Source organism: Homo sapiens, chromosome 5 (genome assembly GCF_000001405.40).
Source record: "Homo sapiens chromosome 5, GRCh38.p14 Primary Assembly".
Classification (NCBI taxonomy): Eukaryota; Metazoa; Chordata; class Mammalia; order Primates; family Hominidae; genus Homo; species Homo sapiens.
In genome coordinates this window covers 124,055,260-124,071,034 of record NC_000005.10, presented here as the reverse complement: position 1 = coordinate 124,071,034, position 15,775 = coordinate 124,055,260, and the positions used below count along the sequence as shown (strand labels likewise).

The following is a 15,775-nucleotide window of genomic DNA, read 5'->3' as shown; positions in this document are numbered from 1 at the left end:
ACTAGTCTCTCTGCCTAGCAGAAATAGATATATAAAACCGGCATTTCAGCACCCTTCCGAATTTGTAACCAGACGTTCTTTGCACAAAGGACTGATAATCTTTTCCCATTTCACTGTTTCTAGAGATAAACACTTGTGGATTTATGTTGCTACGTCTGTGAAATTTTGATTTGATTTTAAGAAGATAGTATTGTGATTCTGTTCTCTCAAATAGCATCTGCTTCTTTTGAAACTTGTTCTGAATTTATAAGAGCATATGATTGTCAGAGAACTATTAATATTGCCAATGTTGTAAAGTTTACAGATCTCTCTCATATATATCATTATAAGATTATCTCAGAATACTGAGAGGTAGGCATTGTTATATGAGACAATTGAGACTCAGAGGAACCAAGTGAACTCTGATGTTATACTGCTGGAAAATAGTGCCACAGGTCTCAAAGTCATGGTCAAATCTCATGCTTTTATTTTTGTTTTGATACAGCAACTTATTTGATGTAAAGGGTGAAGAGGTTATATTTCCAAATATTCCACTATATTCTATTTGAATGTAAAGTTATTTTCTATCAAGGCCTCCAGAAATATTTATAGAAAGTGCTCTAATGGTTCCAGAGCAGGTTATCCAGAGCATTACAACAAAACTTAATGACTAGAAGGGTTAGTTTTCCTTCAAGAAAACCTCTATTTCACAACAGCAGTCTTGACTCTTTAGGCAACTTATAAACTTGTTTCTTAAGTTACTACAAGAAAACAGAAAAAGAGTACAGGCTATGTACTCCTGGGAACACAATTCAGAATATAAGCTGTGCAGCCAATATGTCAATTTCATTTTCATTTGGCAAAGGCAACAATTTCTATACCAAATGTCATGGACTCCCACCTTAACTCAAGGGCACACAGGACCTGTTAGGATGCCTCAGATTTAGAATGCAGAGCATCGCTCCCGGGAAATCTCATCAACCCTCCTCCAATGAGAATATATTTATATTTGCTATTTATGTTTTCAAAAGTGTGTTGGATGAAAACAAGTAAATTCTTCAAGTCCTTTGGAAATAAAGCAAAATTTTGTACCACATCTATACCTATATGTTATTATTTTGATATTTGTTTTTAAATTGTTAAAATGTTATGAATTTGAGTGATAGAAATGCATAAAGTCTAACCCTGAGATATTTCCAACAGGGCTTATAGAGATGAAGTAATCTGCCTGAGTAAGATGGCTGAGCTAGAAGTTGAATCCAGGCATTCTGAACTCTGGTTTAACAGCTAAGAAGGGTTAGAGTATACAGCCATAATGGGTATATATTAATGGATTAAAAAATGCTTCAGCTCCTCAACTACCAAATAAATTGGCCAACCTGATTGACCTCTTAACTCTTTTTTTTATTTCTTACTTTAAAAGGTTTTATGTATAATCAGGTTGCCTTCCCACTCCTATCCTCAAAATGTCCAAGTTATACTGAGACAAGATGTTTTTAGATCAGTCTAGATTGTTTCAGGAAAGTTCACCCTAGGTAAAACCAAGCATAATATTCTAATGAGAGCTACTGGTCATCTCCTTTGTGATAGTTAGTTTTACTTATCAACATAGCCAGGCTGTAATACCCAATAATCTGATTGAATGCTCATCTAGATGTTGCAATGAATGTATACCGTAGAAATGGTTAACATCTATATCTCTATATGTCTATCTTAATCTATTGGTTCTATTTTTCTGGAGACCTTGACTGATACAGATTTCAGTACTAAGAGTGGTTATAGAGGAACAGGATCTTAAGGATCAATTCTTTGAAATGATTTGGAGTTTCTGTAATTGATTCTCTAATCTGATTATATTTAAAGACACTAATGATTATTTCCAGTGGTAAAGAGGGCACTGATAGTCCACAGTGTGATATAGCAATAGAGATAGGCAAAATATCACTGGATACAATGATACAAAGTATCATTGGATACTCCAAATCAAAAACTTATAAGAAGCAAGGTTCCGGCTTTCTGTTGATTCTCCTTAGGGACCATCTATACCACTCCTTTTTTGCTTTTAGACCTATAACTTGACTGAAGTTCCAGCAGGCCTGAAAGGGTGAGGTACAACACGTGGCTATAAGGACATGCACTACCCTCCAAAAGAGCTTCATGATTTTCTATTTATACAGGCAGGAATCTGGGGAATACATGTAGGAATGGATATTAAGGGTGTGGAATAATAGTAGAAGAAGCATAAAGTTGGATCAGGCCAAATTTATTGATATATTCTCACTGAGCAGATATTCTGGGTTTAATGTTGCAGCTTGGGGGATTAGAAAGGGTTTTAGCTATTTATTTGGTTGGCTGAAACATAGACCAAAAAGTGCCCCACTATAAGTACAGTTGACATGCCAGAACTGGCATGGTATATTGTAAAGAATCCAAAGTCTTCAGGATTGGGGTATTTTTAGGGTAGATTTATCATTTAAGACTTGCTCGCCCACCCAAGAATGGTCCACAGATATATCTTTCATCATGACTGTGAATAATAAATTTGTGAAGGGAGTCCCAATATCCTTGAAGAGCTTTGTGATTGCTTTTTTCTGTAGGTTGGAATTATCATGGGAACTGCTACTACTGAATTAAGAAGCCCAGATACCATGGGAATAACTGGATCCCTTGGGTTGCAGGGGCAAAGTGGTAACATTCAATCTCAAAAGGCAAGTTGGGCACGGATATCATAATGGACAGCAGTGTCAAACGGGCAGTCGTAATAATCTGACTCACAGAGACCTGTGACATTGGCTAGTTGATCATAGTGTTCTTAGAAGTGAAATAGGTAGGAAGCCTACTAAATTATTACTTGATCTGTAAAAGTGGAGAGTTTTAGGTCAAGTAAACAAAAGTCCAACTTGAGTAATAAAAACAGAGTCATGTCCACTCAATCAAACCCCAGACTTCAGCAAGTTTGCAGACCAGAACCCCTTGAATGAAGAGGAGGCTGAGGATCCTTGAGGAAGGACCCCACCACACTGCCAAAAACTTATACTATTAATCTTTCTTCCAGCCTTTCCCAAAGAGACCCATAGCTGTTTACCAGAGTGACTGTTCACTGGGAAAAAGGAAATAAGCAGATATTTCAGATATTACTGGAACCTGGCTATAAATTGGCATTAACTGTAGGAGACCCAAAATGTCACTGTGGTCCACCATTTCGAGTACAGAAATATGGAGATCAGTGTTCAATGAAGTTTTAGCTCAGATCCATCTCACAATGGGTCCAGTGGATTCCTGAACTCATTATATGGTTATTTCCCCAGCTCTGGAATACATAATTTGAACATACCTGGTAACTGGTTGAATCTCCATGTTAGCTCCCTGACCTGTGGGTTGAGGGCTATTATGCAGAAAAGGACAAGTGGAATCCATGAGAACTGCCTCTATCTAGGAAATAATAAACCAAAAGCAATACTGCATTCCTGAAAGGATTGCAGAGATTAGTGACACCATCAAGGACTTGAGTGATGAAGGGGTAGTGATTGTTATCACATCCTCATCAAACTTGCTTATTTGGGCTGTACTGAACACAAATTTTGGAGAATGACAGTGGCTTAACCAGATAGTGACTCTGATTGCAGCTGCTCTGGTAGATGAATTTCATTGCTAGAACGAGGTAATGTATGCATTTGTATCTGGTATGCAGGTATTGATTTGACAAATGGCTTCTCCTGTTTTTTAGTAAAGTATACCAGAAGCAGTTTGCTTTCAGCTAACAAAACCAGCAACACACCTTCACTGTCCTACCTCAGGGACATATCAGCTTTCTAGCCCCGTGTTATAGTTTATTGTGCAGAGATCTTGATTGCCTTTCCCTTCACAAGATATCACATTAATCTACTACATTGATGGCATTATGCTGATTAGATCTAGTGAGCAAGAAGCAACACTATTCTAGACTTATTGGTAAGACATTTGCAAGTCAGAGGGTAAAAAATATGTTTCACAAAAATCTAGGGGCCTTCTACCACAAGGAAATTTCTAGCAGTGCAGTGTTGTGGAGCATGTCAAGATATCCCTTCTAAGATGAGGAATAAGTTTTTGCAGCTGACCTCTCTTACAACCCCAAAAGTGGCACAATGCTTAGTGGACCTTTTTGGATTTTAGAGGCGACGTATTCCTCATTCGAGTGTATTACTGATTGACCCAAAAAGCTGCTAGTTTTGAGTAGGTCACTGAATAAGAGAAGGCTCTGCAACAGGTCCATTCTGGTGCACAAGCTGCTTTACCACTTGGGCCATAAGACCCAGCAGATCCAATGGTGCTTGAAGTGTTAGTCACAGATGGAGACCTGTTTGGAGTCTTTGGCAGACCCCAATAGGTAAATCAGCACTGGCCTTTAGGATTTTGGAGCAAAGCCCTGCTACCTTTTGCAGATAAATACTCTCCTTTTGAGAAGCAGCTTTTGCCTGCTACTGGGCCTTAGTAGAGACAGAATGCTTGATCATGGGCCACCAAGTTAACATGCCATCTGAATTGCCCATCATGAACTAAGTGTTATCTGACCCACCAAGCCATAAGTTTCATGAAGAAATGGCCCAAATGCCCATGGTCTCCACACCTGCTACAATATATTCTTTCTCAATCCATACTTATGGATTTTCCCTAAAATCAATGACTGTGGAGGCAAAACACTCAAGTCTGAATTACAGATGGTCCTGTACAATATGTAGGCATAATCCAAAAATAGACATCTACAGCACTATAGTCCTTTATAGGACATTCCTAAAGGACAATGGTGAAGGGAAATCTCCACAGTGAGCAGAACTTCAAGAAATGTACCTGGTTGTTCATTTACTTGGAAGGAGAAATGGCAGAAGTACAAGTATATATCAATTCATGAGTTGTGGCTAATGTTTTAGCTGGATGGTCAGGAACTTGGAAGAAACCCGATTCAAAAATGGTGACAGGGAGGCTTGGAGAAGAGGCATATGCACACACACACATCCTATTGGTTCTGCTTTTCTGGAGAACCTCTCTGAATGAGCAAAAATGTGAAGATATTTGTGTCCCATGTGAATGCTCACCAAGGAGTAAATTCAGCAGAGGAGTATTTTAATAATCAAGTGTATAGGATGACTCTTTCTGTGGATAATAGCCTCTGTTTCCAGCCACTTCTGCCATTGCCTAGTGGGCTCATGAACAAAGTGGCCATGATGGCAAGGATGGATTCAGCAACATGGACTTCTATTCACCAAAGCTGACCTGACAACAGCCATCACTGAGTGATCAATCTGCCGGCAGCCAAGAACAACACTGAGTCCCAATATGGCACCATTCTCTGGGGTGACCAGCTAGCCATCTAGTGGAAGGTTGATGATATTGGAGTGCTTCCATCGTGGAAGGGGAAGTGCTGTGATCTTACCAGAATAGACACTCTAGATACAGAATTGCCTCCTTGCATGCACTGATTCTGCCAAAACTACCATCTGTGGACTTACAGGATGACTTATCCACCATCATGGCATTTCCCAGCATTGCTTCTGATCCAATAACCCACCCACTTCACAGAAAATAAAGTGTAGCAACAGGCACATGCTTATGGAATTCACTGGTCTTACTATGTTTTCTATCATCCTGAAGCAGCTGCCTTGATAAAATGGTAGGATAGGCTTTTGAAGACTCAATTGCAATGCCAGTTGGGTGACAATACCTTAGAGAACTTGGCCAGTGTATTTCAGGAGGCTGTATATGCTCTAAATCAGCATCCAAGATCTGGTGCTGTTTCTCCCACAGCCAGGATTCATGAATACAGAAATCAAGGAAATGAGTGGAAATGTGAGTAGCACCACTGATCATTACCCCTGGTGACACACTGGCAACATTTTGTTTCCTGTCTCCATGATCTCATACTCTGCTGACCTTAGAGGTCTTAGTTCCAAAGGGAGAAATGTTTCCACCAGGAGACAAAACAATGATTCTACTGAACTGGATGTTAAGATAGCCACTGGCCACTTTGGGTTCCTCATGCTTCTGACTCAACGGGCAAAAAATATACCTGTTTGTATACTGACTGATGTGATTGATCCTGATTACCAAGGGAAAATTGGCCTGCTACTACATAATGGAGAGAAGGAAGAGTATGTCTGAAATATAGGAGCTCCCTTAGGGCATCTCTTAGTATTATCATGCCTTGTGATTAATGTTAATGGAAAACTGCAACATCACAATTCAGGCAGCACTATTAATGACCTAGATCCTTTAGGAATAGAAGTTTGTGTCACTCCACCAGGTAAAGGGCATAGTGGAAGAAGGTAGTTTAAATACCAGCTAAAACGATGTGACCATTTGCATAAATAAAAATTGAAATTGTTACAAGCCTTTCTTCCTTATTTTCTTATTTTGGTGGTTTTTTTTTGAGACAGAGTCTCACTCCTTCACCCAGGCTAGAGTGCAGTGGTGTGATCTTGGCTCACTGCAACCCGTGCCTCCTGGGTTCAAGAAATTCTCATGCCTCAGCCTCCTGAGTAGCCAGAATTACAGAGGAGTGTCACCACACCCAGCTAATTTTTGTATTTTTAGTAGAGAAGGGGTTTTGCCATGTTGGCCAGGCTGGTCTCAAACTCCTGACCTCAAGTGATCTATCTGCCTCAGCCTCCCAAAGTGCTGGGATTACAGCTGTCAGCTAACATGCCCTGCCTATTTTCTTATTTTGTTATAAATTTGTGTGTATGTATGTGTGTAAGTGTAGGTGTGTTTGTGTGTATGTATGGCAAATATCTCTGTTTTCTTTTCTCTCCTCTTATCATAATGACATAAGACATATTAAATAATAGCTACCTTTCCACCATAGCATTTAAGTTACAGGACATCAAAGAGAAGAGTGAACATTATCCAAGGACTTTGCATCCCTTTGGGGAAAGAGTATATTTTTTTGTCATACACTACATAGTTGTATCATGTTAGGTGGATACAATAAAAGTGTGACTTGTTACTGTTTTATTGTTTTTACTTTGGAGATTAAGTGTGTTGTAAGGAGATGTGTATGGCTGCCAATTTGACAAGAGGTGGACTGTGATGGTTAGTCTTATGTGTCAATTTGATTAGGCTATAGTACCCAGTTATTTATTGAAACACTAATCTAGGTGGTACTGTGAAGATATTTTTGTAGACAAGGTTACTCTCTACAATCAGTTGACTTTACATAAAAAAATTACCATCAATAATGTGGGTGGGCCTCACGCAAGCAGTTGCCTTAAAAAAGCAAAAACTGAGGTTTCTCAGAAAATAAGAAATTCTATCTCAAGACTCCTGCTTGAGTTTCCAGCCTACTAGCCTACCCTGCTGATTTTGGACTTGCCAGCCCCCATAATCAAATTCCTTAAAATTTGTCAGTCTGTCTATATACCTATATATATATTCATATAATTGTATTATAGTTATACATTATATATTATATAGTTATATATGAACATCTACACACACACATACACACACACACCCTATTGATTCTGCTTCTTTAGAGAACCCTAATTGAAATACACCTGTAAATTATAGCTCTAAAATTAATTGCCCTTTTTGCTCCTTTTAATTTTATTAAATTTTATTTACAAAAATAATACATGCTTATTTTAATAAGCTCAACAATATAGGCTTATAGAAGTGAAATGTTAATATTCTTCACTTTTCTTTCCTCTAAACCTATTTCTGTTTTTGTATACCTTTCTATACTTTTCTTAATAAAACACATACATACACAAATGCACATTCATGTTCACATGTCTATAATTTATTGTGTTTTTTTTAAAGGTGGCTATATTCTACATAACACTCTATAATTTGCTTTTTAAATTAAGCAATACATTATATAACTGCCTCTAAGCAAATACTTATAGGGCCCATTTTAAAATAGTTGCATACCAGTCACTATATTGACCATAACTTAACCAAGCATTTCCTTATCAATAGCGTTTTGGGTTGTTTTAATAATTTTTGTAGTTTAAATATGACTGCCTTAAACATATTTGTACTTCCGACTTTACCTACTCATCTTTTTGTATATTTTCAAAATTGGGATGTCTAGGTCAATGGGTATTGATAGATTCTTTTCATAAAGGTTGTAGCAATTCTTTATTCTACCAGCAAAGTATGTTGCCCTATATTCTCACCAGCACTTGATATTAGTTTTCAATGTGAAGAATAGAAAGTGAGATCTCATTTATATTTTATTTTACATTTCCTTGCTACCAACATGTTTGACCATATATTCATATGGTTAAGAGGTGGTTGGCCTTTCTTTTTCTATTACTTGCTTCTTCATTTCATTTTCCATATAGCATTACTTTCCTTTATGTTTACTTACTAATAAAAAATAATTTATTTTTATGAGACAAGGCCTCACTTTGTTGTCCAGGCTGGAATGCAGTGGCATGATCACAACACACTACAGCCTCAGTCCCCTGGGTTCAAGCAATCCTCCCACCTTGGCCTCCTGAGTAGCTGGGGCTACAGGTACGTGCCACCATGCTCAACTAATTTTTTTTTTATTTTTATGTTTTAGATATGGGGTCTCACTATGTTGTCCATGCTGATCTCAAACTCCTGGGCTCAAGCAATCTTCCCACCTCAGCCTCCCAAAGTGCTGGGATTACAGGCAAGAGACACTATGCTTGGAATTTTTTGTTTGTTTGTTTGTTTTTAACAATCTCCAAGAAAGTTTCATTTTGCTGCATATGGCCTTTCAATTTACCTAATGTGGCCACAGGCATAAAGGAGTCGAGTCAATGTTTCATAGATTATTGCAGTTTATGGCACTGACACCACCACTTACCCTCAGTGAGAAAAACAAAGGACCAGCAAAAGGTGATGATGTGGTAGACCTTGAAATTTCTGTCAATGGCACATCAACTAAAGAAATTCTAAAGAAAAATCATCTTGTCAACTTCTTAAGACTAGAAATGTATTTAGACTGCAATATAGATCTAATGCCCAGCTTGCAGAATTGCAGAATTTTCCAATTTGGTGTTGCTCTAGGTTAAAAAATGTACCAGCTGAAAAATGTGAATTGGAATCATTTGCCATTGGTTCCTAATATAATGACTGATTTCCCACTCTGGATTCAGCAAGCTGCAGGCAATGGGTTTGAACTGAGTCCAGGTGGAAAGGGGCCAGACATATTAAATTTAAGGCCTCTATTGCACAACTCCCTACAGAAATTGTACAAATAATGTAGCTGAAGTGCTTTCTGCATGCTGTGTAACCCAACTCTTTTGGCAACCTGATTAATTCCTTGCCATTTTCTGTAGTACGCACAGTTAGGAAGTATACTAAAAGGTGACAGAAACCATAATAGAAGCTGTCAAGGATTACATTCAAGATGTTATCCTCTTCATTTTCAGTTTAGAAAAACATTTTTCAAAAAAAAGGCCTCATAAAGCTTGGATATAATAATTACTCCTCGGTGCTATTTTCCTTTTGTTAATACCACTAATATTAGTAATAAATAAGTCCAACCCCAGAGATGATTGTTATTCTAAATTTATCCTGTATTCTACAGAGCTGAATATAAATATATATGCAGACTTACTAAAAACTATCTATCTTAGTTAATACAAAAAAAGCTTTTAATTGGACCTCCTTTACGTTGGACTGCAATGTCAATGCTTATTTCTCTGTTTAAGTGTCTGCACAGCCTTCAGGGGTTAAACGTTCATTCACTCCCACCCTGCTTTTTGTGCCTTTTCTCAAAAGGGGGCCTGTGAAAAAAGGATACTTTTGAGTGTAAATACTAAAAAGCATTGAATCCAAGATTTGCGGTAACTCCAGTTTTAGTCTTCTCAAAGATGGAGATGTTAATATTGTCAAGGTTCCAGTGAGAACATGATGCCAAGAATGACACACTGAATTCTACCCAAGTCATCTAAAACTAAAGCTTGTCAAAAGCAACTAATGTGTTAAGTAGACACGATTTTTTTTTCCAAAATGAAAACATTTTAGAGGTAGTCTTTATACTATTTTTTAACTTGTAAATTCTTTTTAAATTGCACACTAGGAACAAGGGGGTAGTTCAATAACTGGCTAATGAATTCTAATGTGTGACTTTGAAGTCAAATTGGCAAACACAGAGGGAATAGTGACTCGGTGCATTTCCAATCTGGAGTACCTGAGAAACTCAAACAAGGATTGTATTATAAATTCTGGGCGAACTTGGCACAGCATCGGGTCAGAATATTTTATCAGGCAACCTAGAGCCAGAGCTGAATTTTCCTTTTGTTTTCTGGATTTTGATTTCTAAATGTTTCCTTAGAACAGGTACTTGGTTTAAATGGGATTTAAATAAACTCAGCTCCAGGAATTAGTAACCAATTTGCTTTTAAGAGTCATGTTTCGTGTTTCACTTAATAGGTATCACATGTTTTCAGATGGTCTTTTTTCTATATATTGATGTCAGCTTAAGTGGAAAGAAATTCAAATAATCAAGCACCATAATACTTAGAGATTACATCCATAAATCAGGCTTGGCTATAACATCAGTATATGCTTAGGATCTCATCATGTTGCATGCCATAGAATATTTGTGTGTACGTGTGTCATTCATGTCTGAAAATATTTTTGGGAGGCAGCAGTCTAGTTGTTGGCCTGCTAATCTGAGAAAAAACACCTGGCAATTAAATGGAAACAATTGTAGGGTTAATTGATAGGGGAAGACTGATAGGATTCTGGCTGTGCTTGGGATCATGATGTGACCTCTGAGATATCATGGATTGGAAACTGGAAAATATTTTACATCTTGCACTTGAAAAAATATTTGAAGTGGCACCACATGGCAGAGTTAATCAGTGTCAAAATGTATTGCTTCAAGTCTTTGGAAAACATTAAGTAAGAGGTAAGTGGAATAAAAATGTTTTCCTGTTTGTTATGGACTAAACTGTGTTTCCTCAAAATCAATATGTTGAATCCCCAACCCCCAATGTGACTGTATTTGGGGATGTGGCCTTTAAGGAGGTAATCAAGATTAAATGAGGTTAAAAAAAAATGGTAGAACCTTAATCCAATGTGACTGGTGTCCTTATAAGAGAAAGAAACACAAGAGAACTTTCTCTCTCTTTCTCTCTCTCTGCAGGAGCACAAAGGAAAGGCCATGCGAGGACACAGGGAGAAGACAGGCCCCTACCAGTCAGGAAGGGAGCCCTCACCAGAAACTGAGCTGGCCAGCACAATGGTCTTGGACTTGTAGCTCCAGAACTGTGAGGAAATAAATTTCTGTTGTTGAAGCCACCCAGTCTGTGATTTTTTTTATGGCAGTACTAGCAGATTGATATACCTTCCATCTAGTTGCCTGAAAATAGGGTCTAAGGTACCATGCGTAAATAAAACATATCTGTGGTACCTGTGGTGCCAAAGCAGACATTTTGTATTTTTGTGGATTATCTGGGGACAGACACAGCTCTTACAGCTGAATAGAAATTCTCCCGATAGTGTCTGAAGTGGTTGTAAAAGTTGTCAGAGTGAGGGGAGTGGACAGCCGTTATTTTTGTTTGCCTACATTTATTTCTCCTTCCCCTCTAACATCACAATGGCTTTCCTAGAATAAGTGAATCCTCCCTCACTCTTCTCATGCTTAGTCCACATGATTTGGGTATGGCTGACTCCACCCCATGGCTCTAAGTAGGGCAGGTGACTCAGACCTGGAAGGAGGAGTACAGTAGCCCCTGACAGAATGATTACTCAGGAGAGAACGTGTGACCATCACAGCCATTTAACATCCACTTTTTCTGGAACTGCTGGGAAAGAAACATGAAATTTCTGTTGGATTTACTAATGTGAGAGCCTGTTAGTATGGAGCTGCTTGGGACCATTTCTCAAGGAATTATGTCAAAACAGAGGAAGCCCAAGTCAAGAAGAGACTAGTGTATTTCTGAAAGCACTCTTACAGGAGCAACATCCAGTGATTCTTGGGCCTAGACTTGGACTTTTCCGTTACTATCGCTGATACATTAGCCCATTTTTGCATAAGCCTGCTTGAGTTGAATTTTAGGCTCTTACAGAAGGAAGAGACATTTTGGTTATCACTATGGCTGACGCTTAAAAGAGAGATTTAAAATTTCAACTCAAATGCCCTCTCCCTTCTCACAATTTATCCAAACTTCTATTAAGCTTCTATTAAGGCTGAGTTCAAGTTATACATTCTCTGTGGGTAGCCTCCTCCTCTGGACTGTCATGTGAACCGCACAGCAAGAGAAGCAATGTAGAGGCACTGGGTTTCACAACACATGCAGTCAATTACCTGGATGGGGGCTAGGGGTCGCCAGGAGTTTAAGGACTACTTTTTAGAAATTTATTTGTTTGTCATTTACTAATTGTAGTGAGTTGAACAATGTTCCCCCCCAAATCTGTGTCAAACCAGAATCTCAGAATGTTATTTGGAAATAAGATCTTTGCAGATGTAGTTATTTAAAAATCTCAAGACGAAATTATCCCAGATATAAGGTGGGCACAAAGTTCAATGACAGGTATCCTTATAAAAGAGGAAAGGACACAGAGACCCAAGAAGAAGGCCATGTGGAAAGAGGGGCAGAGTTTGCAGTTATGTTGCCACAAGCCAAAGAACACCAGGAGCCACCACAAATTGGGAGAGGTAAGGAAGAATTCTCCCCTAAAGTCTTTGGAGGGAGCATAGTCCTGCTGACGTCTTGATTTCAGACTTCTGGCTCCCAGTGTTATGAGAAAATAATTTCTCGTTTTTAGACACCAAATTTTTTTATTATTTGTTATGGCATCCATATGAAATGAATACACCAGTGAAGCTATAAAGTATGAGAAAGTGGGGAGAAAGCTGAAAACTCTAAGAAATGACTTTGCTGGAGAAGGGGAAGTTCATGTCAAAGTTCATTAGCATTGAGATAAAAAAGATCAGTGCTATTCCCCATACACTGTACATTCTCCCTTGTGCCTTTATCCTAATTAATCAGATGCTGACCAGGCTTTGTATATTATCTGATGGCCATTCTCAGGAAAAGCAAGGATTTGCTGAGCTTTTGCACTTTTCTGAGATGGGGAAGGCACTGAGAAAAAGGGCGCATGACGATTTTACTACAGAAATTCTGCAGTGTGATTTGGCATCATGACAATTTGGCCATCTGCTTTGTGGAGGGAGTCCAGCACCATCAACGAGACAGTGTAATTTCTGTCACTTCTTAGAGAAGCATCCTTGTAACACAACAGTCCTTTGGTGGGTTCATTGTGTGGCAGTGTAAATTTTCATGACTAGGGTCCTCGTCCATCCTGGTTTGCCTCAGACAGCCCCAATTTATGCCTGTTGTCCTGGCTGAATTAATTACAGCCCTCCCTTTTTCACTTTGAAAAGTGTCCCTGTTTGGATGATAAATTATATAGCCACCTTAGCTATGACACAATCTCTCATTAAAAAAAAAAAAAAAAAGCTGTAAAGCTTTGCAAATTGATTTACTTTCATTTTCTTGCCAACCCCACAAGATTACTTACAATGTTTTGGAAATAGTAATTACATTTTTTTTTAAAGAGAGTTTTGCCTGGGAGTTAGAAAAGGGAAGTTCAAAAAGGGAAGTCTATGCTGTCTGTTTCCTAAAGACTGTTTCGCTCCTCCACAGCAGGTGCCCCCACCAGTGCCTCCCTACCCGCTCCCAGCTTTGGTGGCAGAGCAATGCCTCTATCCAGTGAAAGGAATTTGGCTGCTTCAGCAAGGTGACAACTGCACACATCCATATCTGCAAGGCAGGTGTAAGCTGGCATTTTGCCCAAGTCTAGCCAGACAGCTTCATAAATCCTGCCCTTACCACAGCCCGAATTACTTTTCATGACACAAAGCCAAGCTGTGTTATTCACCTAATGCCCCGATTTACAGTTCCCAAGACAAAAGAACATACAGATAGAGTTTCAGGGCTCTGTTTGCCTTCACGTTTATCTAAAGGTCAGTTTCAGGTCACGCTCAAGAAACCTGACAAATGGTGGTGAATAAACCTAAAAATAAATTAAATGCAAGTGGGAAACTTAAGCATTCCTTATTCTTGTGCCAAAAGAAAACTCAACCCAATTGACATTCTTTTAATATCTGAGATAAACAGCTGTTCTCTTATTCATGGCATCGTAGGGAATTATCATGCTCCCTTCAGCTCCTGCGCACATGTACATGTGTGTGCTTCCACATAAGGTACCCACATGTACACACATACACACGTCTCGGCGCAGTTCCCGTTTAGGTATTTGTTCTTGTGTCTTTAAGGACCTGAGTTCATGGAAGACTTGAGGGTCCTCAGAGTGAGAACTGCTCTTATCTGGAACAGTGCTGTGGTTGCCCAGGAGTACCACTCATGTCCTGCCAGGCTCAGGGGCACTAGGACGTCAAGCAGAAATCTCATCACTCTATGAACGAGAAAATCAGACCAACAAATGCCGGTCCTTGGAGAGAGATAATTGCTCATATGCCAGATTCATGAAGGTGAGAGTTGAGCAGTTAACCTGAAGAATGCTTCATGCAAATAGGCTTAGAACTGCGGAACAAGAAAGTGCTGGAGCCCCACCAACTGAAAATACCTCTGCAGAAACCTCAAGACCTCAACAGTCCATTGCCGAGTTGTTGGCCATGACAGGGCTTCTAGAGCAGCACTTAATTTACCCTTGGTAATTCTAAGGAAAATGATAGACAACAACAAAAAACCCACCTTCTGCCCTTCAGAAAACTGCAATAGACTTTGAGATCTACCCCACTATGCTGTGTTTTTCTATATGTAAACCTTCTCTATGATGTAGATTTTCCTTCCTCCCACTCCATCCCCAAACCCCCAGCCTCGCTTTTCTATTCACAAGATTGGGACAGAAATTTCACTAAGAGAAGTAAGACACTGCTGGAGAAGAAACACACTGAGCCCATCACATTTCACAGTGGGTTTGTAAATTCCAGCTGCCTCTGTTAGGGTTACAGAACAAGCCCAGAGTTGTTTCTAAAGACATAGTCAAGTAAAACTCATCACTGTCAAGCTTCTGAATGCAAGGAAGAAGTGTGGCAGATGAATGTGTTTCTGTGACTGGTTTGAAAACCTGCCATATGGTTTGTGGACAGTAGCATTTGGACAACTGAGGTATAAAGGAGTCTTATGGCACCATCAGCAGCCACATTTGCTCACTCTCACCCTCTCAGCTCTCACTTGTCCCACACGTACAGATGGGGCCCTACTGCAAGACTTTTTGGCTTTCCTCCTAACAGCTTCCATTGACTTACAAAGAGTGCAGGCTGGAAGCACTGGGATTTCATTCCCCCAGAGAGCAGCCAATGGCACATGGGAGTTGGTGGATATATACCCCAGTGGTGAGAACTCTGAGATATGTTTTACACTGGCTCTCAACAGTCCCCAGTGGGGTTATGCCCCCATTGCCCACCATGATAACTGGCTCAGTAGGGCACCGTTTAGCGGCTTCTTTACCTTCCCTCTCTCATTTCCTCATCCCACTACTGGTGCTACTTGGATCCCCTCACAAATAAAGCACTTGTATTAAAATCCTTATCTGGAGTCAGATCCTGGGGGATCCCAGCCTAAGAAAGCACACTATGAGGATATCTGTGAAAAGGCAGGTGGAACTACATAGATTATGTGACTTGTGTCTGAAGAGTGAGCCCCATAGGGCATTTGGAAATGGCACAGAGGATGTGCCCTGGAGTATCCACATGTATTGATGGAGGTTATAGAATGTGAACTTCCAGATGCAAATGTACTAGTAAAAAGTGCATTATTTGTGTGCATGTGCAAGCCAGGGAGTGGGGATTGTGGGGAGAGAC

General features: G+C 39.4%; 1 long non-coding RNA gene across 1 annotated transcript in view, besides 1 other annotated feature; it reads left to right on the top strand.

Annotated features, from left to right (window-relative positions):
* Positions 1 to 11,241, top strand: part of LINC01170 (long intergenic non-protein coding RNA 1170) — a 378,727-nt gene extending 367,486 nt beyond the window's left edge. Inside the window, exons 5-6 of the long non-coding RNA NR_125774.1 lie at positions 8,525 to 8,617; positions 11,087 to 11,241. This is a non-coding gene — a long non-coding RNA (long intergenic non-protein coding RNA 1170). The remainder of the gene's footprint in view (positions 1 to 8,524; positions 8,618 to 11,086) is intronic.
* Positions 14,134 to 14,323: an enhancer, noted in NCBI's record as "active region_23008". NCBI's record gives its function as "activates an Ori minimal core promoter by ATAC-STARR-seq in GM12878 lymphoblastoid cells {active_cell/tissue: GM12878}" and the evidence as "EXISTENCE:reporter gene assay evidence [ECO:0000049][PMID:35858748]".